At 49.6% G+C, this 26,659-nt stretch overlaps 3 protein-coding genes across 5 annotated transcripts, besides 12 other annotated features; 2 read left to right on the forward strand and 1 right to left on the reverse strand.

Annotated features, from left to right (window-relative positions):
* Positions 182–721: an enhancer, noted in NCBI's record as "active region_6409". NCBI's record gives its function as "activates an Ori minimal core promoter by ATAC-STARR-seq in GM12878 lymphoblastoid cells {active_cell/tissue: GM12878}" and the evidence as "EXISTENCE:reporter gene assay evidence [ECO:0000049][PMID:35858748]".
* Positions 182–1,406: a biological region, named in NCBI's record as "MED14-independent group 3 enhancer GRCh37_chr12:53689034-53690233".
* Positions 207–1,406: an enhancer, noted in NCBI's record as "MED14-independent group 3 enhancer chr12:53689034-53690233 (GRCh37/hg19 assembly coordinates)". NCBI's record gives its function as "activates an origin of replication core promoter dependent on BRD2, BRD4, P300/CBP and CDK7 cofactors, and independent of MED14, by STARR-seq in HCT116 cells {active_cell/tissue: HCT116}" and the evidence as "EXISTENCE:reporter gene assay evidence [ECO:0000049][PMID:35650434]".
* PFDN5 (prefoldin subunit 5) lies at positions 499–4,407 on the forward strand. 2 transcript variants are annotated; one of them, NM_002624.4, is made up of 6 exons: positions 499–596; positions 796–898; positions 1,201–1,232; positions 2,807–2,881; positions 3,002–3,107; positions 4,226–4,407. In NM_002624.4, exons 1-6 carry the CDS (start codon positions 525–527, stop codon positions 4,300–4,302), a joined length of 465 nt encoding a protein of 154 aa, NP_002615.2. In that variant the 5' UTR covers positions 499–524; the 3' UTR covers positions 4,303–4,407. The 2 variants fall into 2 exon arrangements, with proteins under 2 accessions (NP_002615.2, NP_665904.1); NM_145897.3 differs by lacking the exons at positions 796–898; positions 1,201–1,232.
* Positions 3,624–4,823: an enhancer, noted in NCBI's record as "P300/CBP strongly-dependent group 1 enhancer chr12:53692451-53693650 (GRCh37/hg19 assembly coordinates)". NCBI's record gives its function as "activates an origin of replication core promoter dependent on BRD2, BRD4, P300/CBP, MED14 and CDK7 cofactors, with strong dependence on P300/CBP, by STARR-seq in HCT116 cells {active_cell/tissue: HCT116}" and the evidence as "EXISTENCE:reporter gene assay evidence [ECO:0000049][PMID:35650434]".
* Positions 3,624–4,876: a biological region, named in NCBI's record as "P300/CBP strongly-dependent group 1 enhancer GRCh37_chr12:53692451-53693650".
* Positions 4,327–4,416: an enhancer, noted in NCBI's record as "active region_6410". NCBI's record gives its function as "activates an Ori minimal core promoter by ATAC-STARR-seq in GM12878 lymphoblastoid cells {active_cell/tissue: GM12878}" and the evidence as "EXISTENCE:reporter gene assay evidence [ECO:0000049][PMID:35858748]".
* Positions 4,457–4,556: an enhancer, noted in NCBI's record as "active region_6411". NCBI's record gives its function as "activates an Ori minimal core promoter by ATAC-STARR-seq in GM12878 lymphoblastoid cells {active_cell/tissue: GM12878}" and the evidence as "EXISTENCE:reporter gene assay evidence [ECO:0000049][PMID:35858748]".
* Positions 4,462–4,756: an enhancer, noted in NCBI's record as "tiled region #12; HepG2 Activating DNase unmatched - State 1:Tss, and K562 Activating non-DNase unmatched - State 14:Gen5'". NCBI's record gives its function as "activates a minimal TATA promoter and a strong SV40 promoter by Sharpr-MPRA in HepG2 and K562 cells {active_cell/tissue: HepG2 | K562}" and the evidence as "EXISTENCE:reporter gene assay evidence [ECO:0000049][PMID:27701403]".
* Positions 4,567–4,626: an enhancer, noted in NCBI's record as "active region_6412". NCBI's record gives its function as "activates an Ori minimal core promoter by ATAC-STARR-seq in GM12878 lymphoblastoid cells {active_cell/tissue: GM12878}" and the evidence as "EXISTENCE:reporter gene assay evidence [ECO:0000049][PMID:35858748]".
* Positions 4,652–12,134, forward strand: MYG1 (MYG1 exonuclease). Its single transcript, NM_021640.4, has 7 exons — positions 4,652–4,910; positions 5,107–5,219; positions 7,991–8,150; positions 10,865–11,017; positions 11,155–11,277; positions 11,637–11,818; positions 11,923–12,134. Exons 1-7 carry the CDS (start codon positions 4,695–4,697, stop codon positions 12,104–12,106), a joined length of 1,131 nt encoding a protein of 376 aa, NP_067653.4. The 5' UTR covers positions 4,652–4,694; the 3' UTR covers positions 12,107–12,134.
* Positions 4,697–4,876: an enhancer, noted in NCBI's record as "active region_6413". NCBI's record gives its function as "activates an Ori minimal core promoter by ATAC-STARR-seq in GM12878 lymphoblastoid cells {active_cell/tissue: GM12878}" and the evidence as "EXISTENCE:reporter gene assay evidence [ECO:0000049][PMID:35858748]".
* On the reverse strand, positions 12,417–26,567 carry AAAS (aladin WD repeat nucleoporin). Of its 2 annotated transcripts, NM_015665.6 has the most exons (16): positions 26,300–26,567; positions 25,522–25,649; positions 20,684–20,739; positions 20,292–20,383; positions 20,051–20,097; positions 19,708–19,806; positions 19,255–19,398; positions 14,558–14,678; positions 14,114–14,238; positions 13,917–13,977; positions 13,682–13,772; positions 13,392–13,485; positions 13,239–13,306; positions 13,009–13,090; positions 12,802–12,886; positions 12,417–12,670 (listed from the first exon to the last, which is right to left on the reverse strand). In NM_015665.6, the coding sequence occupies exons 1-16, from the start codon at positions 26,420–26,422 to the stop codon at positions 12,446–12,448; spliced, it is 1,641 nt and encodes a 546-aa protein (NP_056480.1). In that variant the 5' UTR covers positions 26,423–26,567; the 3' UTR covers positions 12,417–12,445. The 2 variants fall into 2 exon arrangements, with proteins under 2 accessions (NP_056480.1, NP_001166937.1); NM_001173466.2 differs by lacking the exon at positions 19,708–19,806.
* Positions 25,106–25,195: an enhancer, noted in NCBI's record as "active region_6414". NCBI's record gives its function as "activates an Ori minimal core promoter by ATAC-STARR-seq in GM12878 lymphoblastoid cells {active_cell/tissue: GM12878}" and the evidence as "EXISTENCE:reporter gene assay evidence [ECO:0000049][PMID:35858748]".
* Positions 26,414–26,603: an enhancer, noted in NCBI's record as "active region_6415". NCBI's record gives its function as "activates an Ori minimal core promoter by ATAC-STARR-seq in GM12878 lymphoblastoid cells {active_cell/tissue: GM12878}" and the evidence as "EXISTENCE:reporter gene assay evidence [ECO:0000049][PMID:35858748]".

Here is a 26,659-nt window from a genome sequence, read left to right on the forward strand (position 1 = left end):
ATTTTTTTTTTTTTCCTGCCTTTCGGCCTCAGAGGCCATCTGGGAAAAAGAGTTTAGAATTTCCCTGCCATTTCCATGCCGTGCTGGGAGGAACATTTGAAATCGGGCCTGGCGGGGTACCAGCAGGCAGCAATAGCAAGCGGGGTGGAGAGGAGCAGGGCCAGGCCCCCGAGCCGTCGCCATGGCAATCCAGCCTGCTTTCCAGTAGCTTATACCACCCACGTGGAGTAGCATACACTACTTTGTAATATCGTGGTTGTGTCGTGAGAACTTTAAGATTTTGCAGTTCCTTGTAGGCAGGAGTCCTGTTTGCTGCTACTTTACAATACTAGGCTTAAGACATTTTATGAAATGAACTCACACAACAGTCTCTGAGAGGCTCAAGCCCCTCCTTCCCTTCCGGGACGGAGGATCATAGAGCTGTCTGGCGCAGCGAGGCCTCCCGGCGCCACCGAGACGCGCAGAGGACGGCTAGAGCGTTGCTCGCCGAGAGACTTCCTCTTCGTTAAGTCGGCCTTCCCAACATGGCGCAGTCTATTAACATCACGGAGCTGAATCTGCCGCAGCTAGAAATGCTCAAGAACCAGCTGGACCAGGTGGGGACGGGCCCCAGAGGCACCTCTTTCCTGCTCTACATCCCCCTTGCCCACGCGTACTTCTCGCGCCCGGTTCCAAGTTGGCAGCCTACCTTTCCCAGGCGAAACCTCTATCCGATCCCAGGACCTGCCCCCTCCCCGGCCGCGCTCCTTTCTCCCCTTAGTCCTCTCATTGACCCGCTATCCCGGTCCTCTGTAGGAAGTGGAGTTCTTGTCCACGTCCATTGCTCAGCTCAAAGTGGTACAGACCAAGTATGTGGAAGCCAAGGACTGTCTGAACGTGCTGAACAAGAGCAACGAGGGTATGGGGTAGGCGGGTGAGGGTAACCTAAAGTGGCGAACCTGCTTCTCTCGTCCCACCTCCTAACCCAGTTTTTCTTACCTGAAACGAGAAAATCCATTACATATCGTATACCGCTTCATGAACCCTTTGCATGTTGCCTGCCTAGAATTGAAAAGTACAGGACATTCCTCTGCTCCTATTGCCCCTGTTTCCGTTCTTTTCACACTGTCTGTGGGTGCTGTGCCCTGTTGGAACTCTCTTTAACGTCTTACGTTGGAGCCGCTAACCTTCCCCAGGTGTTTGTCTTCATTGCTTTCACAGGGAAAGAATTACTCGTCCCACTGACGAGTTCTGTATCCTTTCCACAGGAACGGCTACCTGCTGCCTTCTCCCTTTCTCCTTCACTCCCCCAAAAAGCGGGGAGGGGGATTGTTTTGATTACTTCAGATTACCCTCTCCTCACAATGATTTTGAGGATACCCTTTTTTTTTTTCTTTCTTTTTTGAGACGGAATTTCGCTCTGTCGCCCAGGCTGGAGCGCAATGGTGAGATCTTGGCTTACTGCAACCTCCGCCTCCCGAGTTCAAGAGATTCTTCTGCCTCAGTCTCCCGAGTAGCTGGGACTTTAGGTACGCGCCACCACGACCGGCTAATTTTTGTATTAATAGTAGAGTTGGGGGTTTCACCATATTGGCCAGGCTAGTCTCGAACTCCTGACCTCGTGATCCGCCTGCCTCGGCCTCCCAAAGTGCTAGGATTACATTACAGGCGTGAGCCACTGCCCCCGGCCAAGAATACTCTTATTACACACTTTGTAGCTCTTTTATCTGACTTCACACCAACATCCAGCTAATGTCTTGTGAACACCAAGGAGTATGTATAGTTGAGATGTAATATTTCCCTTTGCTGTTTGAGAACATTAATATGGAGATAAAGCTGGTGGTTTACACTTTGCTAATATCTTAGAAGATACAGGCAATAGACAAAAATAGGAGGATATAGAAACAGGGAGCTTGGCTCTGTTAATCTTCAACTTCAGCTTAATTGTGGCTCATTTCTAAACTGTCACTAAGAAACCTGGATTGTGTTCACTTGTTCAGTGTTTTATTTGAATGAGCAAGTTATGGCAGTAGGGCATCTTTAATCTGTAGTCTCAGAACTGACAGGCTAAAAGGAACACAGGAATAGTAGTGTGTAGTAGGGAATGGTTTAAAAAAAAAAATTAGCCAGGCACAGTGGTTCACGCCTGTAATCCCAGCACTTTGGGAGGCCAAGGCTGGCAGATCACCTGAGGTCAGGAGTTAGAGATCGGTCTGGCCAACATGGTGAAACCCTGTCTTTACTAAATATACAAAAATTAGCCAGGCGTGGTGGCACATGCTTGTAATCCCAGCTACTCCGGCGACTGAGACAGGAGAATTGCTTTAACCCGAGAGGCAGAGGTTGCAGTGAGCCGATAGCGGGCAATTGCACTCCAACCTGGGCGATAGAGCGAGACTCTGTCTCAGAAAGCAAAAAACAAACAAAACATTGACTTTGTCAGGAATTAGCTACTTCATGATTGAGGGCATTAAGGGAAATGAGGCTGGCTTTTTACTTGTAGTACTCTACAACAGTAGGAAAACATGTCTAGTCTTTCTGGAGGGGCTAATGGGAAGAATTGCAAGAACTGCTTAGAGAGTGAGAGATGGGATGAGGCAGGACAAGAGGGTGTTCCAGCATACATCATTTTCTCCTTAAAGAACCAACTTCTCTGTCTTCTTTCCATTTGGAGTTATAGGTATTGTTCTAAGGCCTCCAGATTATTCAGTCCTTATGCCTTGTAGCTTTTTGGAAAAAGAGGGTCTTTGGAGGCCAAGCAGGCTGGCTGGCGGAATCATGGCTCATGCTGGGCTGGCTAGTTTTTCCCTTAATTCTTGCTTCTCAGATGTATGTCCCTGGGAAGCTGCATGATGTGGAACACGTGCTCATCGATGTGGGAACTGGGTACTATGTAGAGAAGGTGAGTGAGAGCATGTGGATGCCCCTCTAAACAGGGAAGGGAAATTCAGGGGAAGCTCTAGAGCGCAGCATGGCCAGAGGGAGTCTCCTTTTAGCCCCTTATTCACCTCTGATCTTGTAGACAGCTGAGGATGCCAAGGACTTCTTCAAGAGGAAGATAGATTTTCTAACCAAGCAGATGGAGAAAATCCAACCAGCTCTTCAGGAGAAGCACGCCATGAAACAGGGTAAGTTTTTCCTGGGGCACCTCTTGACCCTATCTCCATAATAAGGAACATGGATTGCAGTGTGAACCACGGGGGTGTCCCCTTTGCTGGAGTAAAACTATGTCTTAGTTTCTCTTTGGCATCTTTAGAATCTGTGTATTGCATAATCACTATCTGTAGATTCCTGGGTTGAGCGTTTGAGAAATTTAGAGGAAGGAAATCATGTTTGTGCTTTGGTGGAGCTCCTATTTAATGACGATGGAATGGGGGAATGAGATGAACACACAGGAAGGAATCATGATCCAAACGAACTAAATACCAGCAATTATAACCCCGACTGCACATGAGAATCACTCAGGAAGTTTAAAAAGAAAGCTTGGGCCCATTCCAGATTGACTAAATCAACTTGGAAGTCAAAGGAGGGGAAGTTGTACCAAGGTCTGTTTTTTTTTAAAAAAGCTCCCCTCTGTTATAATCAGGATTCAGAACCAGTGTTCCAAAGGTAAAAATCTTTCCCCATCATAGTTTTCTGATTATGTCAGACTCATTTAATACCATATTGTGTTCGTTTTTATATCTTTGGTTAGCAGGTTTTTTTTTTTTCCGAGAAGAGTCTCATTCTCACCACACCCAGCTGTGTTAGCATATTGACCGATGCATTGTAGACCCTAAATTTGTGTTAGTGACCCCACAGTGGATCACTGAGTTAAAGTTTTATTAACAATGCCAGGCGCAGTGGCTGACGCCTGTAATCCCAGCACTTTGGGAGGCCAAGGCAGGTGGATCACCTGAGGTTAGGAGTTCAAGACCAGCCTGGCCACCATGGTGAAACCCCATCTCTACTAAAAATACAAAGTTAGCCCGGGCATGGTGGTGCATGCCTGTAATCCCAGCTGTTCGGGAGGATGAGGCAGGAGAATCGCTTGAACCCGGGAGACGGAGGTTGCTGTGAGCCAAGATCGTGCCACTGCACTCCAGCCTCGGTGACAAGAGCAGGATTCTGTCTCAAAAAAAAAAAAAAAAGGTTATTAACAAACTGTAGTTAGTCGGTCGCCTGTCCTTAAACTTGCCTGTCACTTCTCCTTAACTCTAGGTTCTCCTTTTTGCTTCTAACCTTTGACTCTTATTTTTTTCCACAGCCGTCATGGAAATGATGAGTCAGAAGATTCAGCAGCTCACAGCCCTGGGGGCAGCTCAGGCTACTGCTAAGGCCTGAGAGTTTTTGCAGAAATGGGGCAGAGGGACACCCTTTGGGCGTGGCTTCCTGGTGATGGGAAGGGTCTTGTGTTTTAATGCCAATAAATGTGCCAGCTGGGCAGAATGTTGGTCTTTTCTTGGATTAAGCAAGGGACTGGTGATGAGATGGGGGGTGTGGTCGAGAGTGTGGGCCCCGTCTCAGAGCCTGATGCGCAGGGGTGATGCGATGCGCCTCTTGGAGGCTCCATCGCAGGGCCCTTTGACCAGCTGGAAGAAATCCTAGGCTGGGAGTCTGCTGCTGCTCACTCTGCAGAGCTGGTTGCCAAGGGAACGGTTGGCAAGCGGAAGTGGGGCTGCGCTGGCGCTTCCTCTTCCGGGTCGGCGCTCCTGCCTCCCTGCAGGGAGCTGCTTATGGGACACCAATTCCTGCGCGGCCTCTTAACGCTGCTGCTGCCGCCGCCACCCCTGTATACCCGGCACCGCATGCTCGGTCCAGAGTCCGTCCCGCCCCCAAAACGATCCCGCAGCAAACTCATGGCACCGCCCCGAATCGGGACGCACAATGGCACCTTCCACTGCGACGAGGCACTGGCATGCGCACTGCTTCGCCTCCTGCCGGAGTACCGGGTACGGTCCGCGAAAAGTGACCCTGGGACTGCGTGCATGCATGCCTCCGGGGTGGATGGCATTCCGCCAACAGGGTCACTCCGATAGCGCCCGGCAGCCCAAGCACCCTTCCTACCCTTCCTGCCTCCCTGAAGTCCAGCATTAATCCCCTACCCGGCGACACCCGGCAGCCCCTTCACCCCTGTGTACCTCGCAGGATGCAGAGATTGTGCGGACCCGGGATCCCGAAAAACTCGCTTCCTGTGACATCGTGGTGGACGTGGGGGGCGAGTACGACCCTCGGAGACACCGATATGACCATCACCAGAGGTAGGTTCTCAGATACCATTTATTTAACTTCCTTGACCTCAGCTTTCCTCTGTGCTCCAATTCAGCCATCCACTGCCGTAGTCCGCGTCAGCGAAAAGAACTGCTTCATCACTGAAATCAAACTCCCACTAGGACTACATCATCCTTCCGGCCCTGCCTGTTCTTCACCCATCTCCCTGGCCTGGGACCTCCTTTGGTTCCCAGGGAGTCCCTCAGGCCCCTTATCTCATCTCCTTCCTTAGCCAAGGCTTTTTTTCCATCAGCAACTTCATCACCCCAACTAAATAAACCCATCTGTGATTAATCCATTCTGGTGCCCTTGCTGCTGCACCTAACTGCTGGGCCCACATGATTGTGGCAGTTGGTGACAGTTCAGATGTGTGAAGTTTTCTACTTCATTTACACCCTTCCAAAGGGAAATCCTTCTTGCTCAAGGGTAGCCCATTCCAATCCTTTTCTTCTCCCTCAAGCCTCTACCGCATCAAACTGAGTGTCCCTGCCTCTTTTCAAAAGAAGTTGAGCATTTCCTCAGTCTCCCACCTCAAACATCCTCAGCTCCCTCCTACCAACTAAGGGAAATTTCTTCCCTTCTATTGGAGGTTAATCCTCTGTCCTGTTTCCAGTCTATTACTTTCTTCTCTGGGATTCTTTTTTCTTTTCTTTTTTTTTTTTTTTGAGACGGAGTCTCCCACTGTCGCCCAAGCTGGAGTGTAGTGGCACGATCTCGGCTCACTGCAACCTCTGTCTCCCAGGTTCAAGCGATTCTCCTGTCTCAGCCTCCCGAGTAGCTGGGACTACAGGCACCCACCACCACACCCGGCTAATTTTTGTATTTTTAGTAGAGACGGGTTTCACCATATTGGCCAGAGTGGTCTCGAACTCCTGGCCTTGTGATCTGCCCCGCCTTGGCCTCCCAAAGTGCTGGGATTACAGGTGTGAGCCACTGTTGGCCTATCCTCTGGGATTTCATGTCACAGTTCCACTAGTGTCTCTGCCTCTCCTTCCCTACAGCCTAAAACCCTTCTCAAGTATCTTCCATCTTGAAAAGAAACACAGGTGTAAAAACAAAACCCTCCCTCAATTATACCACACCACGAGAAGTAATTATCTTGGAGAGAGGGATTATGATGTTTTAAGTCTCTCTCCTTTTTTCTTTTTTTAGCATACATATTATAAATGATGTCAGGAAGAAACCCTCCCAATATTTACAGCCTAAGCTCTCACCCTTGCTTCTCAGCCACCCTTCAAAAAACAGCTGACCGTGGCTTCACCTGTTCCTTTCCAGTTCATTCCCCTCAAGCCCACTCTCCCAGTGTCTTCTCTGGAACTGCTCGGCAGAAGGGCACCAGTTACCTCAGCACCAAACCAGGGAGCTGGTAAAGGGTCTCAACTGATCTCTTTAGCACTTGGCATTATTGACCACTTCCTTTTATCAAATTGTTTTTAAGATGGAGTCTCGTCTGTCACCCAGGCTGGAGTGCAGTGATGTGATCTCGACTCACTGCAACCTCCGTCTGCTGGGTTCAAGTGATTCTCCTGCCTCAGCCTCCCAAGTAGCTGAGACTACAGGCGCCCAGCTAATTTTTGTATTTTTAGGAGAGACAGTGTTTCACTATGTTGGCCAGTCTGGTCTTGAACTCCTAACCTCAGGTGATCCACCCGCCTCAGTCTCCCAAAGTGCTAGGATTGCAGGTGTGAGCCACCATGCCCAGCCTCATTTTTTTTATTTTTACTTTTTTTGAGATGGAGTTTCGCTATTGTTGCCCAGGCTGGAGTGCAGTGGCACTCAGCTCACTTCAACCTCCACCTCCCAGATTCAAGTAATTCTCCTGCCTCAGCTTCCCAAGAAGCTGGGACTACAGGCGTGTGCCACCATGTCCGGCTAATTTTTCCATTCTTAGTAGAAACAGAGTTTCAGCATGTTGGCCAGGCTGGTCTCAAACTACTGACCTCAAGTGATCACGCCTTGGCCTCCCAAAGTGTTGGGATTAGAGGTGTGAGCCACTGAGCCCAGCCTGTATTTACTCAATATTTAATAATAAAAGTCAGTTAACAAATGGAGCTCCCTAGGTAATTCTGAGATGGACTGGTATTTAGAAATCATGGCTGTAGTTTCTGCTTCCCTAACATCTGTTATATCTTTTCTCTATTTTCTGCCCCACTGCTGTTCAAATTCTTGCCTTCTTTATTCACCTGAACCATTGCAGGTAATCTCCTTGCATCTGTTCTCCATGCTGGCTGGTGCAATGCTGTAACATGCACCTGCCTGCTTAAAATCCCCCAATGACTTCGATTACCCACAGATAAAGTCCGATGGTCTGGCCCTGCCTGCCCTTCCAGCTTTTTCTTTTGCCATTCACTTCTCACACCTGAGCTGCCTTTGCTGAAGTTCCATCAAGACACTTGTCTCTCAGCCATCATTCATGTTGTTCTCTCTGCTTGGAATGCTTTTTCTCTTTCACCCCTTGTCTATCTGGTGGACACCCACTAATTCATCTTTCAGAACTGACCTGAAGGCTCTCCTCTGAACCCTTTCCTCATCCCTTCCTTCCTTTCCCTTGTCTCGTCTAGTGAGAGTACTCAGGGGGTTGTGTTTGTCGGCCTCCGGCAGATGAATCTGAAAGCAAGGACAGTGTCTTGGTTTTTTATCCTTAATGTCTAATAAAACATAAAATGTGGCAGATAGGAAGCATTGAGTTAACCATTGAATGAATGCATGGAGACTCTAGCCAAGGTCCCTCACCTCAGCCCCACCTCCCTATGCTCCTCAGGTCTTTCACAGAGACCATGAGCTCCCTGTCCCCTGGGAAGCCGTGGCAGACCAAGCTGAGCAGTGCGGGACTCATCTATCTGCACTTCGGGCACAAGCTGCTGGCCCAGTTGCTGGGCACTAGTGAAGAGGACAGCATGGTGGGCACCCTCTATGACAAGGTGGGGACCTGAGGACAGAGATGCCCCCCACATGCATTTCCAGCAGGCCGCCTGGGAGCAGTGCTCACACAGCACTCAGCACTGGGCCTCGGGTCAGGGTTCCTGGCCTATAGCAGGCCCAACACTCATCCTCTCCCTCAGTCAGGCTCATCTCACAAGGGAATGGTGATACCTCCCCTGTCTACATCCTGGGGTGGTTGTGAGAAGTGGATGCTGTAATATATGGGGAAGGGCTTTGAAAACCATAAAGCAGCATGGCCCCGTCTTTTTATTGACACACACAAACAGCAATTGCTCAGCACCTTTGGGTAAACAGAGGGGAGGCTGCTTATGTGTGGAAGCAGATGGCTCAGAGGTTCTGGCTGCCCTGAAGGTTGAGGGGAGTGTATGTTAGGCACCACTGTAGTTCACTAGTGGCACATAAATTGGGAAGCTCAGCTGAGAAGAGTTTTATTATGAAACTGTCTTTGGATTCCACCAGTGTCCCCTGCAAGCAGCTTCCTGCTCTTAGGGAAAGAATATGGCTAGTGGCCCTGGCATGCAAGTCAGGTCGCACAGTACTGAGGACACTTACTTGTTTACAAGTCAAAGCCCAGGTTCAGTCAGCTGTATTTCTTGCAGGTAGGCTGTTGAATTCAGTTCTCAGTTTTTTTGTTGTTTTTTGTTTTGAGATGGAGTCTTGCTCTGTCGCCCAGGCTGGAGTGCAGTGGCGCAATCTTGGCTCACTGCAAGCTCCGCCTCCCGGGTTCACGCCATTCTCCTGCCTCAGCCTCCCGAGTAGCTGGGACTACAGGCGCCCATCACCATGCCCGGCTAATTTTTTGTATTTTTAGTAGAGGTGGGGTTTCACCGTGTTAGCCAGGATGGTCTTGATCTCCTGACCTCGTGATCTGCCCACCTCAGCCTCCCAAAGTGCTGGGATTACAGGTCTGAGCCACTGCACCCGGCCCATCAGTTCTCAGTTTTAGCTTGCCCATTTTCTGCCCTCTGTAACTATAGAGTTTTTGGAATATCAAGATTTTAGACTGCCTGGGTCAGTTTTCCCTTCCACTGCTGAAGGGTTTCTAAACAACTGACTAAATTTTTGTTGTTGTTTTTTTTTGTTTTTTTGAGACGGGGTCTTGCTCTGTCATCCAGGCTGGAGTGCAGTGGCACAATCTCAGCTCACTGCTACCTCCGCCTCCTGGGTTCAAGCGATTCTCCTGCCTCAGCCTCCCAAGTAGGTGAGATTACAGGCGCCTGCCACCACGCCTGGCTAATTTTTTATTTTTAGTAGAAACGGGGTTTCACCGTGTTAGCCAGGCTGGTCTCAAACTCCTGACCTCAAGTAACGCACCCACCTTGGCCTCCCAAAGTGCTGGGATTACAGGCGTGAGCCACTAATCCCAGCAACAATTGACTAAATTTAACCCGTATTTTTTTTTGAGAGACTGTTGCCCAGGTTGGAGTCCAGTGGTGCCATCATGGCTTGCTGCTGCTTTGAACTCCTGGGCTCAAGCAGTCTTCCCACCTCAGCCCCCCAAGTAGCTGAGACTACAGGTGCATGCCACCATGCCTGGCTAATTATATATCTTAATTTTTTTGTAGAGAGGGTCTTGCTATGCTGCCCAGGCTGGACTCAAAAACTCCTGGGCTCAAGTGATCCTCCCACCTCAGCCTAAACCCATGTTTTTTTTTTTTTTTTTTTTTTTTTGAGACGGAGTCTCGCTCTGTCGCCCAGGCTGGAGTGCAGTGGCGGGATCTCGGCTCACTGCAAGCTGCGCCTCCCAGGTTCACGCCATTGTCCTGCCTCAGCCTCCCAAGTAGCTGGGACTACAGGCGCCCGCCACTACGCCCGGCTAATTTTTTGTATTTTTAGTAGAGACGGGGTTTCACCGTTTTAGCCGGGATGGTCTCGATCTCCTGACCTCGTGATCCGCCCGCCTCGGCCTCCCAAAGTGCTGGGATTACAGGCGTGAGCCACCGCGCCCGGCCTAAACCCATGTTTTAACTGAGCATCAGGTTGGGATCCAAACCAAGAAGAGCTGGGCATAGGAGTTACTTTCTCAGTGCTCTGAGAGTAGCACTTTTCTACATACCACAGGTGTACTGTTATGGAGGCCTATTTTGTAGGGTAATTTTGCATAAAGTTTCTGCCCCGAGACTCTTGAGGCATTATCCTACCATTTATTCAGACCCAGGAGACAACTGCTGATGTCATGAGGCACATTATGGGCTTCCCTGGAACCCTAACCCAGCAACCAGCTTTTGGTGTCTAGTCTCACACTCATTTTCTCCCACTTGACTTGTGTTCTCAACCAGAGCCGCTCCTGCACCTCATTAACCGTGTCACTGAATACCTACTCACCCCACCTGGAGATTTACCAGCCTTCAGCCACAGGGACCCACTCCCACAGAGAGCCTCTAGCACCTAGAGACCTTCCTTGTTCAAAAGTTAGCAGTCCCCTCCCTACACGTGTTGGCTTTGGTTTGGGCTTTGTGCAGCAGAATGAGCATGGATTAGAAATCAGGTGATCTGAATTCCAGTCACAGCACAACGAGCTGTCTGAGCTTCAGCGAGCTGCTGAACTTGCCAATTCTCCCTTTTCTCATCCAGTTAATGTTGAGAGATCCTCACAGGGCTGAAAGAGTGTGTATGAACATACTTTGAATCATGTAAGATTTCACATAAGTAGCAGGTAGCCTCAAGAAGGTTTCCCCTGCTGCTGCCTTAGATGTATGAGAACTTTGTGGAGGAGGTGGATGCTGTGGACAATGGGATCTCCCAGTGGGCAGAGGGGGAGCCTCGATATGCACTGACCACTACCCTGAGTGCACGAGTTGCTCGACTTAATCCTACCTGGAACCACCCCGACCAAGACACTGAGGTAAGGTGGCCTGGGAGGAGACCCGGAGACCTGTAAGAACCTTGGGTGGGGGGAAAATGGGAGCATTTGCTCCTCCTAAGCCCTAGCAAATTCCAAGTTTGGGCCAGCATCATGGTTCTAATTCTCATCATTCCCAGGCAGGGTTCAAGCGTGCAATGGATCTGGTTCAAGAGGAGTTTCTGCAGAGATTAGATTTCTACCAACACAGCTGGCTGCCAGCCCGGGCCTTGGTGGAAGAGGCCCTTGCCCAGCGATTCCAGGTATAGGCCTTGGAGGAGGCATTATGGCTTGAGGATTACTGACTGCCAATCAACAGGAACTCCTGCTTCTTCTACCCTAAACCCTGGAGTGCAGTGGCAGACAACCTCAACCTCTTAGGCTCAAGCAGTCCTCCCACCTCAGCCTCCTGAGTAGCTGGGACTACAGGCACACACCACCTCACCCAGCTAATTTTTGTATTTTTTGTAGAGACAGGGTCTTACTTTGTTGCCTAGGCTAGTCTCAAATTCCTGGGCTCAACTGATCCTCCCACCTCAGCCTCCCAAAATGTTGTGACTACAAACATGATCACCATGCCCAGCCTACCTTAAACCTTCTAGCTATGCTCTCCCTCTTTCAGGTGGACCCAAGTGGAGAGATTGTGGAACTGGCGAAAGGTGCATGTCCCTGGAAGGAGCATCTCTACCACCTGGAATCTGGGCTGTCCCCTCCAGTGGCCATCTTCTTTGTTATCTACACTGACCAGGCTGGACAGTGGCGAATACAGTGTGTGCCCAAGGAGCCCCACTCATTCCAAAGCCGGTGAGGCCCTAGGGAACCACTCTGCAGACCTTCAGGCTTGTCTCAGCCTTGTTAAGAGAAGGCTGCCAACTCTGACCCCTGCTGTACTCCCTCTTTCTGCCCAGGCTGCCCCTGCCAGAGCCATGGCGGGGTCTTCGGGACGAGGCCCTGGACCAGGTCAGTGGGATCCCTGGCTGCATCTTCGTCCATGCAAGCGGCTTCACTGGCGGTCACCACACCCGAGAGGGTGCCTTGAGCATGGCCCGTGCCACCTTGGCCCAGCGCTCATACCTCCCACAAATCTCCTAGTCTAATAAAACCTTCCATCTCATACTGACCCAGTCCTTGACTTATTCTTGCCCTACACCATTCCAGAAACTTGTGAAAAGTGAAACAACTATTTATGTGTAAGACCCTGTGCTAGATATATTTTCTTCACAGTAACTTCTCAGCCTTGCTTCCCAAATCATTTGAAACCATAGTTTCTAGGATTAAATAACGTGACCAAATTCACAAGTGGCTAAAAAGTGACAGAACAGGGCCTTAACCCAAAGTCCATGCTTTTTTCCCCTACTGTACCCCACTGCAACTCCCTGGAAAAGACAGACTGGTAACTGAGTGGAAAACAAAAGGAAAACTTATTTATTCTTAGAGGTGGGAATGTGGGGAGTGGGGCAGAACAGGTGGTGGCCCTGGGAGAGGGTCCCAAGGGGCAGAGGTTGGGGATGTCTCAGTAAAGAGGGGCAGGTCATGAATAGAGCCTCCACCCCCAGCAGGGGGTTCCTGGGCCCGCCCAAGCACTGGGCTAAAACGTGGAAACTGGGCATTGACAAAGTACAGCGGGATGTGGGCAATTCGGCCTGTGGACCAGCCCTGCAGAGAAGGGAAAGAAAAGGATCAGAGTCTGGGCCCAAAGAAGGGCCACCTGGCAGAGCCATACAGCAGCCAAGGCCCTCAGCTTCTCCATCCAACTCCTGGAAGCCCCAGCAGCCTGGCGCACTCACCACACTGAGCAGGGCCCCTTTGTTGAAGGAAGGATGGAAAGTGATGAGCTGGGGCTGGGCTCCTGGCTCCCCCTGGATAATGCCACTAGAAGAAAAGGTGAGCAGGCAACCGGAGGCAAGAAGGGAGCTGAATGTAGTGGGATGTGGGTTTGTTTGTGCAGGAAGGCTGGTGAGAAGTCCAGACCTAAGGGCCCACATGGCACTTACCAGGGAAGGAGCTCAAACACAGGGCTGTTTCGAGTGCGAAAAAGGAGGATGACTGGTTTACCATCCTGTACCCTTGGCTTTCCTGTAAGAAATGGATCCAGGGATAGGGGAGGAACTCTGAAGGCAGAGTCCCAGGACATGGGCAGAGGAGAACTCCAGGCCAGGGCACGGCCTCATTAGATTAACTGGGAAGATGGCTGTGGGCTGAGCCCTTCATCCTTGCCTCTCACCTTTCATAAGCACAGCCAGACGTTCCCCACTGGGGTCCCAGACCATGGAGTGAGCCTCTCCCCCAAGCCTGTGGGTAAGGACAGGTTAGGAGAGTTTCAGTGTGGTCCCTCCCACCTGCTTTTCACTGCCACTCCCTCAACCACTCAGCTCACCTCTCCTCACCATCTGGTGTCTGTATTGTTGTCTCAGACAGATCTGCCACAATCGTTGCTGACTTTGCACCTCCAACGCACCCCTTTCCCTCACCTGTGGACAAATAAGAGCAGAGAGGTTCTTGCAAGAAACAGGCCTCTCACTGGTCCCCTGCCAGCTCACCAAAGGCATCAACACCTCGAAATCTCCTAAGCTTCTATATTTCCCTTTATCCCTCAGAGCTGCATCTTACCAAAGGTTGCTGCCTCCCTCTGACCACCCCAAATACTGAAGTGTTGCCCTAACTCACCACAACGTTCTGGAAAAGACAGGGAGTAAATCAGTGGCTCTCCCAATACAGTGAACAGCAGTCGGCTGCCATCTGGGCTCCAGCAGCCAGTCTGGGGTCAGGGAGCAAAAGGCAGGAGAAGGTATGTCTATAGTAGAATGCAGGAGGGAAAGTAGAGGTGGCCAGGTTTGGGAGCATCAGGGGCCCATTGGAATCATCTCCTCCCCAGTGTCTGTGAATCAGAGTCCCCTCTTACCTGACAGCGCCCTGATAGAGTAGGCCACCTCTCACAAGTCCACATCTGGGCCTCCCAGACTCTGAGCCAGAGAAAAGCAAATTACAGCTCAGGACCTCTAAGTTCTAAAAGTTGGACCTACCTCCCTTGACAGAGCTTCCAGGAGCTAAGTGCCTTTCTCTAGGTCCTTGCCCTCCCTCCATCCTTGTCCCACTCACCGAAAGACAGCTGAAGGAGTGGTAGCCAGGATTTTGCTGCCGTCTGGGGACCAGAGCAGGTTGGTCACCCCACCTCCTCGGAACCAGGGAAGGGGGACACAGGTCTCTGTTGAGACATCCCATACCTAGGAGAGTGGGGCAGGAGATAAGGGAAAACTCAAGCACCCCATCATCTCACAGTGGGCTGGCCTCTCTAATGTACAAAGAGCCAGAAACGAGAGGAAGCGGGAGAGGGACTGTGAAACATGAGGCACGGGTTCATGCTGACAATTACAGACAGCGGAATTTTAAACCTCACGAGTCTGATGGCAAAGCTCCTCTCTGGGTAAGTTTAAGACTGAATGGACCAAGGTCCCTCCTCCTTCCCCCAAGATGTTTCCACAACCGAGTGAGGAACACTTTTGCCAGGACTGAAATGTGCATGAGGGGCAGGGACCCACTCACCCGGATAGCAGCATCCACGGGTGAAGCTGAGAGCAGCCGCCCCCCACTGGGGGCCCAGGCCAAGCTGGTAACAGGTGTATGCCCAGGGTGAGACAGCACTTGGGCACAGCCAGAAGAGGGTCTGGAGGGGAACACAGAGGATGTGGAGTCAGAAGATGACAAGAAGCCATCCCCAAAATTCTATTTCTTTGCCTCCTGCTAAAACCTCCTATCCTGATGGCCCACTCTGGGCTCAAATCCAGGTTGTGAAAAAGGAATAAGGATTGTGAAAGTTAAAAGAAAAAAACAGCGAAGGGGAAAAACGACCAAGTCACCACGAGCAGGTCAACAGAGAAGAGGTAATCTGCAAGGTCTCAGGCCAGGGTGAAAGAGTGCTTTCACGAGATAGGCCATGAGGCAAAACCTAACCAGTAACCTAGAAGGTACTGCCCCTGGGGCGATATCAGGCCCTACCCCAGAACACAGCTCTCTGCCCACAGGCCATCCAGCCTGGCCATCCATCTATCCAGGATTAATAATCTATGACATTACTTCAAGGTTCCAACCTTTTCTCTCCAGTTATCTAACACTCCTCAGAACACATCCTGTGCTCCCAAACAGCCCTCCTGCCTTGCCTTATCAAAGTACCTCCCAACTCTGCAGCTCCCGCGTTTGCTCCTTATCATAAAGATGCTGCAGGCTGGGCGCAGTGGCTCACGCCTGTAATCCCAGCACTTTGGGAGGCCGAGGTGGGCGGATCACGAGGTCAAGAGATCGAGACCATTCTGGCCAACATGGTGAAACCCCGTCTCTACTAAAAGTACAAAAAAATTAGCTGGGCGTGGTGGTGTTCGCCTGTAGTCCCAGCTACTTGGGAGGCTGAGGCAGGAGAATTGCTTGAACCCGGGAGGCGGAGGTTGCAGTGAGCCGAGATTGCACCACTGCACTCCAGCCTGGCGACAGAGCGAGACTCCGTCTCAAAAAAAAAAAAAAAAAAGATGCAGCATGTGGCTCGGCCTCCATCACCAGCAGGGAACTACCTGAGGGCACCTGCCATGTGTCTGCAGCTGTGTATTTCCAGAGCCATGTGCCTGGCCTGACAGACGAAGGCTACTACCTGAATTAATGCCACCTCTCTTTCCACCTAACTATAACCACCTTCAGCTCCAGTGAAGTCTTAGTCATGGATGTACAATTTAATTCTCTTGAACTTTATGATAAATCACAGCTGCCTTTGCAGGTGGGTTCAGATTCATCTCATTCTTTTCAGTGGCTCCATTGTATACCACTCAATAGATGAACTATAATTTATTGAGTCATGCCTCTACAAATGGACATTTGACTTGTTTGTAATTTTTTATTATACATAATGCTGTAAAAAATATTTCCTGGGCCAGGCATGGTGGTTCACACTCCAGGATGGAGTGCAGTGACACAGTCATAGCACACTGCAGCCTCAAAGTCCTGAGGCTCCTGCCTCAGCCTCTAAAGTAGCTAGGACTACAGGCGTACACCCCACGCCCAGCTAGTTTTTTTATTTTTATTTTTTGTATAGACAGCATCTATGTTGACCAAGCTAGTCTCAAACTCCTAGGCTCAAGCGATCCATCTGCCTCAGCCTCCGAAAGTGCTGGAATTACACGCATGAGCCATCACGCCTGGCCTTGTTTTTTGTTCATTTATTTAAAAAAATTTTTTTAAATCGAGTTCCGCTCTTGTCACCCAGGCTAGAGTACAATGGCATTATCTCAGCTCACTGAAACGTCCACCTCCTGGGTTCAAGTGAATTCTCCTGCCTCAGCCTCCTGAGTAGCTGGGATTATAGGCGCACGCCACCACACCCAGCTAATTTTTGTATTTTTAGTAGAAACAAAAAAAACCAACAACCTTCCAGGCGTGGTGTACGCACCTATAGTCCCAGCTACTTGGCAAGGGGCTCACTTGAGCCCAGGTGTTCAAGGCTGTAGTGTGCAATGATTGAGTCTGTGAATAGCCACTGTATTCCAGCCTGGGCAACATAATGAAACCCCATCTCTAAAAAAACCAAAAAACAGGCCAGTTGCAGCGGCTCATGCCTGTAATCTCAGCACTTCGGGAGGCCGAGGCAGGCGGATCACCTGAGGTCAAGAGTTTGAGACCAGCCTGGCCAATATGGTGAAACCCCTGTCTCTACTAAAAATAAAAAATTAGCCGGTGTGGTGGCACGCACCTGTAGTCCCAGCTACTTGGGAGGCTGAGGCAGGAGAATCGCTTGAACCCAGGAGGCAGAGGTTGTTGCAGTGAGCTGAGATGGCGCCACTGCACTCCAGCCTGGGCGACAGAGTGAGATTCCATCCCCCCCCAAAAAAAATCTGTGATCACGTGTTTTTTTCTTATAGTACCTATTGTCAAGGTTTAGGTATCAGGGTTACATTAGCTTTATAAAAATAAATCAGGAAGATCCTGCAACAAAAAAAAGGGAGGACAGGCCGGGCATGGTGGCTCACGCCTGTAATCCCAGCACTCTGGGATGCTGAGGCGGGCGGATCACGAAGTCAAGAGGAGAATCACTTGAACCCGGGAGGCAGAGGTTGCAGTGAGCCGAGATTGCACCACTGCACTCCATCCAGCCTGGGCAACAAAAGTGGAACTCCATCTCAAAAAAAAAAAATCTCATTATTTTCTTCTACAATCCACTTTGGTAACTTATATTTTGCTAGAAAATCAAACATTTCCACAGGGCACGGTGGCTCACTTCTATAATCCCAGCACTTTGGGAAGCCAAGGCGGGCGGATCACAAGGTCAGGAGTTCAAGACCAGCCTGGCCAATATGGTGAAACCCTATCTCTACTAAAAATACAAAAATTAGCTAGTGCGTGCCTGTAGTCCCAGCTACTTGGGAGGCTGAGGCAGAAGAATCACTTGAACCCGGGAGGCTGAGGTTGCAGTGAGTCGAGATCGTGCCACTGCACTCCAGCCTGGGCAACAGGAGTGAAACTCCTTCTCAAAAAAAAAAAAGAAATCAAACATTTCCTTCAGATTTTCAAATCTGTTGGCCTAAACAAGTCCACAATATTCTTTTATAATTCTTCTATTTTCTCCCGTATCTATATCTTTCCACTTCTGAAAATAGTATACTTTGGTTTTCTTTTTCTCCTTAATTAGGCTAACCAAGAGGTTTTCTTCTTTATTCATATATATACGTATATACACGTATACATACACGTATATATATATATACGTGTATATATATGTGTATATATATAAAACATATATGTGTGTGTGTGTGTATATATATATATATTTTTTTTTTTTGAGACAGAGTCTTGCTTTGTTGCCCAGGCTGGAGTACAGTGGCGTGATCTCAGTTCACTGCAACCTCCGCCTCCCAGGTTCAAGTGACTCTCCTGCCTCAGCCTGCCAAGTAGCTGAGACTACAGGCGAGCACCACCACGCCCAGCTGATTTTTTGTATTTTTAGTAAAGATGGGGTTTCACCGTGTTAGCCAGGATGGTCTCTATCTCCTGACCTCATGATCCACCCGCCTCAGCCTCCCAAAGTGCTGGGATTACAGGCGTGAGCCACCGCGCCTGGCCTTTTTTTTTTTTTTTTTTTTGAGACAGGGTCTCACTCTGTTGCCCAGACCAGAGTACAGCTGTAGTGGCATGATGTCAACTCACTGCAACCTCCGCTTCCCGGGTTCAAGTGATTCTTGTGTCTCAGCCTCCCAAGTAGCTGGGATCACAGGCACGCACCACCACGTCCAGCTAATTTTTTTGTATTTTTAGTAGAGATGGGGTTTCGCCATGTTGGCCAGGCTGGTTTCGAACTCCTGGCCTCAAGAAATCCACCCACCTTGGTCTCCCAAAGTGCTGAGATTACAGGCATGAGCCACTGCGCCTGGCCTAATTTTTGTATTTTTAGCAGAGACGGGTTTTACCATGTTGGCCAGGCTGGTCTCAAACTCCTGACCTCAGGTGATCCTCACGCCTTGGCCTCCCAAAATGCTGGGATTACAGGTGTGAGCCACTGTTCCCAGCCTTTATTCATAATTTTTTTTTTTTTTTGAGACAGAGTCTCGCTCTGTTGCCCAGGCTGGAGTACAGTGGCATGATCTTGGCTCACTGCAACCTCCGCCTCCCAGATTCAAGCGATTCTCCTGCCTCAGCTTCCCGAGTAGCTGGGACTACAGGTGTGTACCACCATGCCCAGCTAATTTTCATATTTTTAGTAGAGACAAGGTTTTGCTATGTTGGCCAGGCTGGTCTCGAACTCCTGACCTCAGGTGATCCAACCGCCTCCACATCCCAAAGTGTTGGAATTACAGGCATGAGCCACCGCACCCAGCTTAGTCATAATTTAAAGAACCAGTTTCTGGTTTTATTTTTAGTTAGTTTTCACAGGTATTCTTTTTCTAATTTTATTAGTTTCTGATCTTATTAGTACTAATTTTCTTTACACTTCCTTTAAGTGTAAAGGAAGTGTATAGTCCTCTGAAAGAGTCTTTCCACCCCGTAACCCACAGACACATTGTCCCCACAATCCAAAAAGCCCCTAGTTCTCTTTCTCCAGATTAGAGTATTCTCAGCAACCCACCTTGATCTTACTTCTGCTTTTCCCATAGCCCTGGGAAGTGCTGTGAGGACAAAGAACTTCTCCTTTCAGACGTCCTCACCACCCACCATGCCTAGCATTGCACAACTCTCAGGCCAAGGTAAGGCAGGCTACTAGGACTTACCGGGTAGACAAGGAGGTAGGGTCCAGGGTCCAGATAAGAATGCAGCTCTGGCAGGCCACAGCCAAGACAGAGGCACTAAGGGGCTTCCAGGCCAGAGACGCCACATTTCGCTGCAGCCGGTGCTTCAGGGAGGGGACTATGGTGCTAGGGTGAAGGGGCAGGAAACTGAGTCAAGGCAGGAACACTAAGGCTCCAGGGACCAGAGTGCAGTTAAGGAGGGAAAGCCACAGAGAAGAAGGATGATCCATCCAGGGGCCAGGGGCACCATAGGACAGGAGGGGATAAAGGTTAGGTCTAGAAGAAGCACGCATCCAGTTATGGAGCTTCCCTGACCCCAGTTCTGGAAGGAGCCCCATGAATCAGGTTCAAGAACTACAGGACTCCCCGGAACCAAGGCTGGCAAGGGAAGGTGATATTGACAAGTCAGAGCCCACCTGGTGTCCCCACACACACCTGCTGGCATTATACACACGGACTGAGTCATCTAGCAGGGCCACTGCAAACTTGTTGGTGTGGGGGTGCCATGCAAAGACACGCAAGCAGCAGCTGGACCTAAGGAAGGGGTTAACATGAAGAGTTCCTGCACCTATCCCTACCCTAGCCCAGAAGCTCACATTCATTTCCAGTAAGGACATGGTTTTTTCCTACTTTTTCTTGTATTCTTTTTTGGGGGAACAGGAGGAATGAGAATATGGTGAGCAATCAGAAAAGGAGTAGGAGTCTTTGCCTTCTCCCCAAAGGGAGTTTTGAGGTTCAGGACTTCCTTTCCACAAAGCTCCAGGGCTTGTGCACTCACCAATTTGTGACTTGGGCAAATTCAGCGATCAGATCTTCGCTCCTGAGCTGTAAGAACAAGATAGACACAGGACACACTGGGGCAAAAGGAGTCCATCTCCTCAATATTCCAACAGGGGAGCTGGACCACTCCTACCCTCTGAAGTCATCACACCCAACCCTGACCTGCAAGGATAGGAATGAGGGCAGAGTAGGATGGGGACACAGCAAATGCAGAGGGCTGGGGAGGAAGCCAAACTTACAGACAGATGGGGGAACAGGGACCCATGGAGGGAAGAGGCCCATCGACAGAGTGCCAGGGCCCAGCCGGATGCCGTCTTCACCCACTCAAACACTGTAGGGTTGAGGAAGCAGCTCTGATTAAACCATTCACAGGCCTCTTACCAGGTACCTTCTAGGTGAAAGACAAGGAAGGACAGGCACTCCCCAGGTCCTTCTGCCCAGTAAGTGCTCTCAACACCACACTCTGGACACCCACTCTGGACACCCACTCTGGGTTATTTGGGTAGGTAGAGGAGAGGACAGGAAAAATAGGGCTAAAAGAGGCTGAGCCAACAGGTGTCGGGGGTGAGTTCAAGAATATGGAGAGGAGATAACCACAAAACTAGGGAAGGCTGGAGGGAAAAATACTTACCCTCTTCTTCTGAGTTTGCAATTTCATTTAGCACCCCAAAAAGGCCCACATCACGCCTGATAAGGGAGGAAAATGTGGGTCAGCTTACTCTGATCCCCTCTGTCCCTCTCTACCAGTTTCATTCATTCAATATACATGTATTAAAAATATGGGCACTCACATTTAATGAGTGCCAACTATGTACCAGGCACTCTACGGGCTGTCCTTTCATTTACATATCTCACAAATCTGAACGAGATTCTACCCATTTACGGATGAGACAACCAAGGCTCAGAGGACTTTTGGGGCTTTGTGAGCAGGTTAAGGAGTTGGGACTTGCTCTAAGACAATGAATGGAAAGCCATGGAAGGGTTCTAAGGAGAAGAATAAACAGATCACACAGCAGCATTTTAGAAAGAGCAGTCTGGCTGCAGATTAGAGAGTGATAAGAATAGAAAAGGCCAGGCTGGCTGTGGTGGCTCACGCCTATAATCCCAGCACTTTGGGAGGCTGAGGTGGGTGGATCACGAGGTCAGGAAACTGAGACCATCCTGGCCAACATGGTAAAACCCCGTCTCTACTAAAAATGCAGAAATTAGCCAGGTGTGGTGGTGCGTACCTGTAGTCCCAGCTACTCAGGAGGCTGAGGCAGGGCAGGAGAATCACTTGAACCCAGGAAGCGGAGGCTGCAGTAAGCCGAGATTGTGCCACTGCACTCCAGCCTGGGCGACAGAGTGAGACTCTGCCTCAAAAAAGAAGAAAAAAAAAAAAGAATAGAAAAGGCCAGGCGCGGTGGCTCACACCTGTAATCACAGCACTTTGGGAGGCCAAGGTGGGCGGATCACGAGGTCAGGAGATCAAGACCATCCTGGCCAACATGGTGAAACATGTTGAAAAATATGAAAATTAGCCAGGTGTGGTGGTCCATGCCTATAATCCCAGCTACTCCATAGGCTGAGGCAGGAGAATCGCCTGAACCCGGGAGGTGGCGATTGCAGTGAGCCAACATCGTGCCACCACACTCCAGCCTGGGCAACAGAGCAAGACTCCATCTCAGACAAAAAAAAAAAAAAAAAAAAAGAAGAGAAAAAATAGAAAAAGTCCAGGTGCAGTGGCTCAACCCTAGCACTTTGGGAGGCCAAGGCAGGTGGATCGCCTGAGCTCAAGAGCTTGAGACCAGCCTAGGCAACATAGGGAAATGCTGTCTCTACAAAAAAAAATACAAAACTTAGGCAGGTGTGGTGGCACATGCCTGTAGTCCCAGCTACTTGGGAGGCTGAGGAAGGAGCATCACTTGAGCCCTGGGGGCTGACAATGCAGTGAGCCGTGTTCCATGTTTGCGCCACTGCACTCCACACTGGGCAACAGAGCAAGATGCTGTCTCAAAAAATAATAATAATAATAGAGAAAAATAAATCAGTTAAGAATCTACTTCAGGGCCGGGTGCGGTGGCTCACACCTGTAATCCCAGCACGCTGGGAGGCCAAGGCAGGTGGATCACGAGGTCAGGAGTTCGAGACCAGCCTGGTCAAGATGGTGAAACCTCATCTCTATTAAAAATACAAAAATTGGCCAGGTGCGGTGGCTCACACCTGTAATCCCAGCACTTTGGGAGGCTGAGGCGGGCGGATCACAAGGTCAAGAGATCAAGACCATCCTGGCTAACACGGTGAAACCCCATCTCTACTAAAAATACAAAAAATTAGCCAGGTGTGGTGGTGGGCGCCTGTAGTCCCAGCTACTCGGGAGGCTGAGGCACGAGAATGGAGTGAACTCGGGAGGCGAAGCTTGCAGTGAGCCGAGATCGTGCCACTGCACTCCAGCCTGGGCAACAGAGCGAGACTCCGTCTCAAAAAAAAAAAACCAAAAAAATAAAACAAAACAAAAATTAACCAGGCGTGGTGGTGTGCACCTGTAGTCCCAGCTACTCAGAGGCTGAGGCAGAAGAATTGCTTGAACCCAGGAGGCGGAGGTTGCAGCGAGCTGAGATCACGCCACTGCACTCCAGCCTGGGTGACAAAGTGAGACTCTGTCTCAAAAAAAAAAAAAGAATCTACTTCAGGAACCTAGGAAAAAGGTGAAAGTGGCCTGAACTGGTGGGGATGAAGAAAAAGAGACAGATTTGAGAGATTTAGGAATTAGCATAAACAAGATGTGAAGACTAATCAGACATTAGTAAAGGAAAGAGCAATACAACAGAAACACCTAGGTAATAATTACATCAGCTAATATGCTTACAATGTGCCAGCTCTGGACTAGGTGCCTCACATTAACTAATCAAGCCATTATGACAATCCTACAAGATAGGTATTGTTATCACTGCATTTATTTTTATTTTATTGAGACAGGGTCTTGCTCTGTGACCCAGGCTGGAGTGCAATATCACCATCACGGCTCGCTGCAGCCTCAATCTCCTGAGCTCAGGTATTCTTGCCTCGGCCTCCCGAGGAGCTGAGACTACGGGTGCACACCATCATGCCCAGCTAATTTTTAAATTTTTTGTAGAGATGGGGTTTCAGTGTGTGTGTGTGTGTGTGTGCGTGTGTGTGTGTGTGTGTGTGTGTGTGTTAAGACGGAGTCTCACTCTGTCACCCAGGCTGGAGTGCAGTGGTGTGAACTCGGCTCACTGCAACCTCTACCTCCTGGGTGCAAGCAATTCTTGCACCTCAGCCTCCTGAGTAATTAGGATTACACACGGAGTTTCACCACATTGGCCAGGCTGGTCTCGAACTCCTGACCTCAAGTGATACACCCGCCTTGGCCTCCCAAAGTGCTGGGATTACAGGCATGAGCTTCCGCGCCCAGACTATCACTGCATTTTTAGATGAGAGAACAAAGGTGTGAAGAGGCTAATTAATATGAACAAGGTAATCTAAGTAGAAAGTAGCAGTCAGGATTCAACCATCTATCTACCCCAGAACCTATACTCAAACCACTTTTTCCTGAATGAGTAATATGATCATTCCTTAAAGTGAACCATCCAGAGAAGCAGATTTGGAGAGAGAAATAAAGAGACTGGATTTGAGCATGCTGAATATATGAAGTCTGCGAAATATTCAAGCAGGATAATTTGGCAAACACGTGAACACCAGGTCTGATGCATCAACTGGAAATCTAGCCCCAAGAACACCAACATTTAAGGGACATCAGGAAGAGGAGCCACCAAAAACCCTGAGAAGCAGCAGCCACAGAAGTAGGAGACAAGGAGCCTGGGAATGAATGGCTTTTCAACAAACTGATATTCAACTTCACACACACAGGCATGCCCATTAAACTGTACTGAAGTACCAAAGATCAAAGCTTGACAGCACATGTGTTGGAAAACAGGCACTCCCATACACTGCTGGTGGGACCATATACATGTACCATTTTGACAGAGGGCTATTTGGAACAGCTCACAAAATTACAGATGAACATACCCTCTGAGCCAGCAACTTAATTTCTAGGAATTTATCCTACAAATGGTAATGGTATTAATAAAAATATTAAGTAACCCTTTTTTTTTTTTTGAGACAAGGTCTCACTCAGTGCCACTGCACTGGCACAATCTTGGCTCACTACAACCTCCACCTCCCAGGCTCAAGTGATCCTCCTATACATAAGCCTCCCAAGTAGCTGGGAATAAAGGTGCATGCCACCATACCCAGCTAATTTTTGTACTTTTCTTGTAGAGAAAAGAACATGGTTTCGCCATGTTCCCCAGGCTAGTCTCAAACTACTAAGCTCAAGCAATCTGCTGGCCTCAGCCTACCAAAGCGCTGGGATTATAGGCGTGAGTCACTGTGCCTGGCATAAATAACCCTTAAAGGAATTAATATGTGCCATTAATAGGTCCAGGTGCAGTAGCTGTAATCTCAGCACTTTGGGAGGCCAAGGCAGGCCTGAGGTCAGGAGGCCAGACCACCCTGGCCAACATGGTGAAATCTCATCTCTACTAAAATACAAAAAGTTAGCTGGGCGTGGTGGCACATGCCTATAGTACCAGCTACTCGGGAGGCTGAGGCAGGGGAACTGCTTGAACCAGAGAGGCGGAGGCTGCAGTGAGCCGAGATCGCACCTCTGCACTCCAGCCTGGCAACACAGCAAGACTCCGTCTCAAAAAAAAAAAAAAAAAAAAAAAGAAAAAGAAAATGAGCCGGGCGCGGTGGCTCACGCCTGTAATCCCAGCACTTTGGGAGGCCAAGGCGGGCACATCATCTGAGGTCGGAAGTTCAAGACCAGCCTGACCAACATGGAGAAACCCTGTCTCTACTAAAAATACAAAATTAGCTGGGCGTGGTGGCACATGCCTGTAATCCTAGCTACTCGGGAGACTGAGGCAGAAGAATCGCTTGAACCTGGGAGGTGGAAGTTGCAGTGAGCTGAGCACGCCACTGCACTCCAGCCTGGGCAACAAGAGTGAAACTCCATCTCAAAAAAAAAAAAGAAAATGAAACCAGGTAGTGTAGCTCCACTCCTACAAGTGCAAAGTGGATGACCTATGTAGGAGATTATTCAGTGCAACCTTATATCTGATCTTGCTGAGCTTCAGGTAAAAGCTCAGAAGTGGTAATGCCATGAGGTGGGGGCAGGGAGCAGGTTCACCTAATCAAGCCAGAAAGCAAGGCAAGTTACTAGAGATGAAATGGAAGTACTTTTTCCATAGTGTTCCTGGGAAGGGCAAGGAAGGGAACCTGACATTTATTGAGCATTTGAGTTCTATAATAAGGACTAAAAATTTCATATGATTTAGGATATACAGCTCTCGTGGAGACAGCCTGAATAAAAGTCTTTTGAAGAACACCCCAAGGTAAAGGGGTGTTGACTCATTTTCCAGGATCTGCAGACTGTGACCCAGGAAACCCTTTGCCATGCCTCACCAAATGTTGATGCATCTCTTCCACACTTGCTCCCGGTGATGGATGAAGGCAGTTCTTGTGCCATGGTCCAGCCTTCCAGGGGTCTTTAGGGGATCCTTTGTCAGTTGTAGGACAGGAAGATTGATCCACTATAGCACAAAAGTGAGGAGTGTGACGGTGATTCAGTCTCTTCCCAAATCTTTAATTCCGTGCCATCTCCAACCCACCGCTGGGCTAAGTATAAGAGATTCCAGAGGTCTGTTTCCCATTTCCACAAAGCTAACACTTGTGAGAATGGGAAACAAGTCTTAGCTCCCGTATCTGTGCAACTAGAATAATATTTCATAGGGTTGCTGTGATTATGAAACCATATGACATTTTTAGAAAACACCTGACTCAGCCTCTTTCTTACATAGCAAACGCTCAATAAATGTCAGTTTCCCTTCCTTGTCCTTCCCAGGAACACCATGGAAAAAAGTTCCATGTTGTATCCTTCTGATCCTCCCCAGATACTGTCCCCAACTTTTAGATAGTTCTCCCGCATCCTCACACTCCCTAGATTCTCCCTCATTCTCTCCATTCCCTCTAGGCCTCCTCCACAGCTCCTTAACCGTTCCCCCGTTATACTCCAATCCCAGTCCTAAAACAGATTCCAGCCCTTCTAGCCTCCTGCCGGGGCCAAGCTGTTTCCACTCCGCCAGACTCTGTGACCCTGCCCCTGTCACACTGCCTCCTTTCCCCAGTAGTCCCCGACTCCGCCCCCATGCCTGTAGGTCCCCTCCCTCCTCGCCCTGGCCACCTGGCCCCGGAAGTCGGGGGGCGGGCTCTCATAGCTACTGCCCGTCACCAGCTCGTTATTGTGCTCATATAGGGTGACTTGACCCCGAGGCGGTGGAGGAGGGAACAACCCCAGAGAGCACATCTTGCCGGTTCGCAGGACGTCTGCAGTCGGCAAACTCCTGGCCGGAACGGCACAGACCGCACTCCCGCAACTCGGTTCCCGGGCTAGATTCGTATGCGGACGGGTACCGCAAGGGACAAACGGCGAGGCGGAACTCAACGGAAGTGAAGAAAAGACTAACGGGAAAGAAGGACGAGTACGCGGTCCCGGGACAGACCTCCAAAGCTTCTTCCTGCGCCCCCTGGCGGCCGGAGGGGG

This window comes from Homo sapiens, chromosome 12, assembly GCF_000001405.40.
Source record: "Homo sapiens chromosome 12, GRCh38.p14 Primary Assembly".
NCBI classification, from domain to species: Eukaryota; Metazoa; Chordata; class Mammalia; order Primates; family Hominidae; genus Homo; species Homo sapiens.

Excerpts from the sequence above, each read along its gene's own strand:
- MYG1 (NM_021640.4), top strand. The coding sequence starts at position 4,695 with ATGGGACACCAATTCCTGCGCGGCCTCTTAACGCTGCTGCTGCCGCCG. Across the intron at positions 11,278-11,636 it reads CCCTTGCCCAGCGATTCCAG|GTGGACCCAAGTGGAGAGAT; the intron begins GTATAGGCCTTG and ends TCCCTCTTTCAG. Across the intron at positions 11,819-11,922 it reads CCCCACTCATTCCAAAGCCG|GCTGCCCCTGCCAGAGCCAT; the intron begins GTGAGGCCCTAG and ends CTTTCTGCCCAG.
- AAAS (NM_015665.6), bottom strand. The coding sequence starts at position 26,422 with ATGTGCTCTCTGGGGTTGTTCCCTCCTCCACCGCCTCGGGGTCAAGTC. Across the intron at positions 19,807-20,050 it reads TTTGCCCAAGTCACAAATTG|GTCCAGCTGCTGCTTGCGTG; the intron begins GTGAGTGCACAA and ends CCCCTTCCTTAG. Across the intron at positions 13,486-13,681 it reads GTCTTTTCCAGAACGTTGTG|GTGAGGGAAAGGGGTGCGTT; the intron begins GTGAGTTAGGGC and ends ATTTGTCCACAG.
- PFDN5 (NM_002624.4), top strand. The coding sequence starts at position 525 with ATGGCGCAGTCTATTAACATCACGGAGCTGAATCTGCCGCAGCTAGAA. Across the intron at positions 899-1,200 it reads GCTGAACAAGAGCAACGAGG|GGAAAGAATTACTCGTCCCA; the intron begins GTATGGGGTAGG and ends TTGCTTTCACAG. Across the intron at positions 2,882-3,001 it reads CTGGGTACTATGTAGAGAAG|ACAGCTGAGGATGCCAAGGA; the intron begins GTGAGTGAGAGC and ends CTGATCTTGTAG.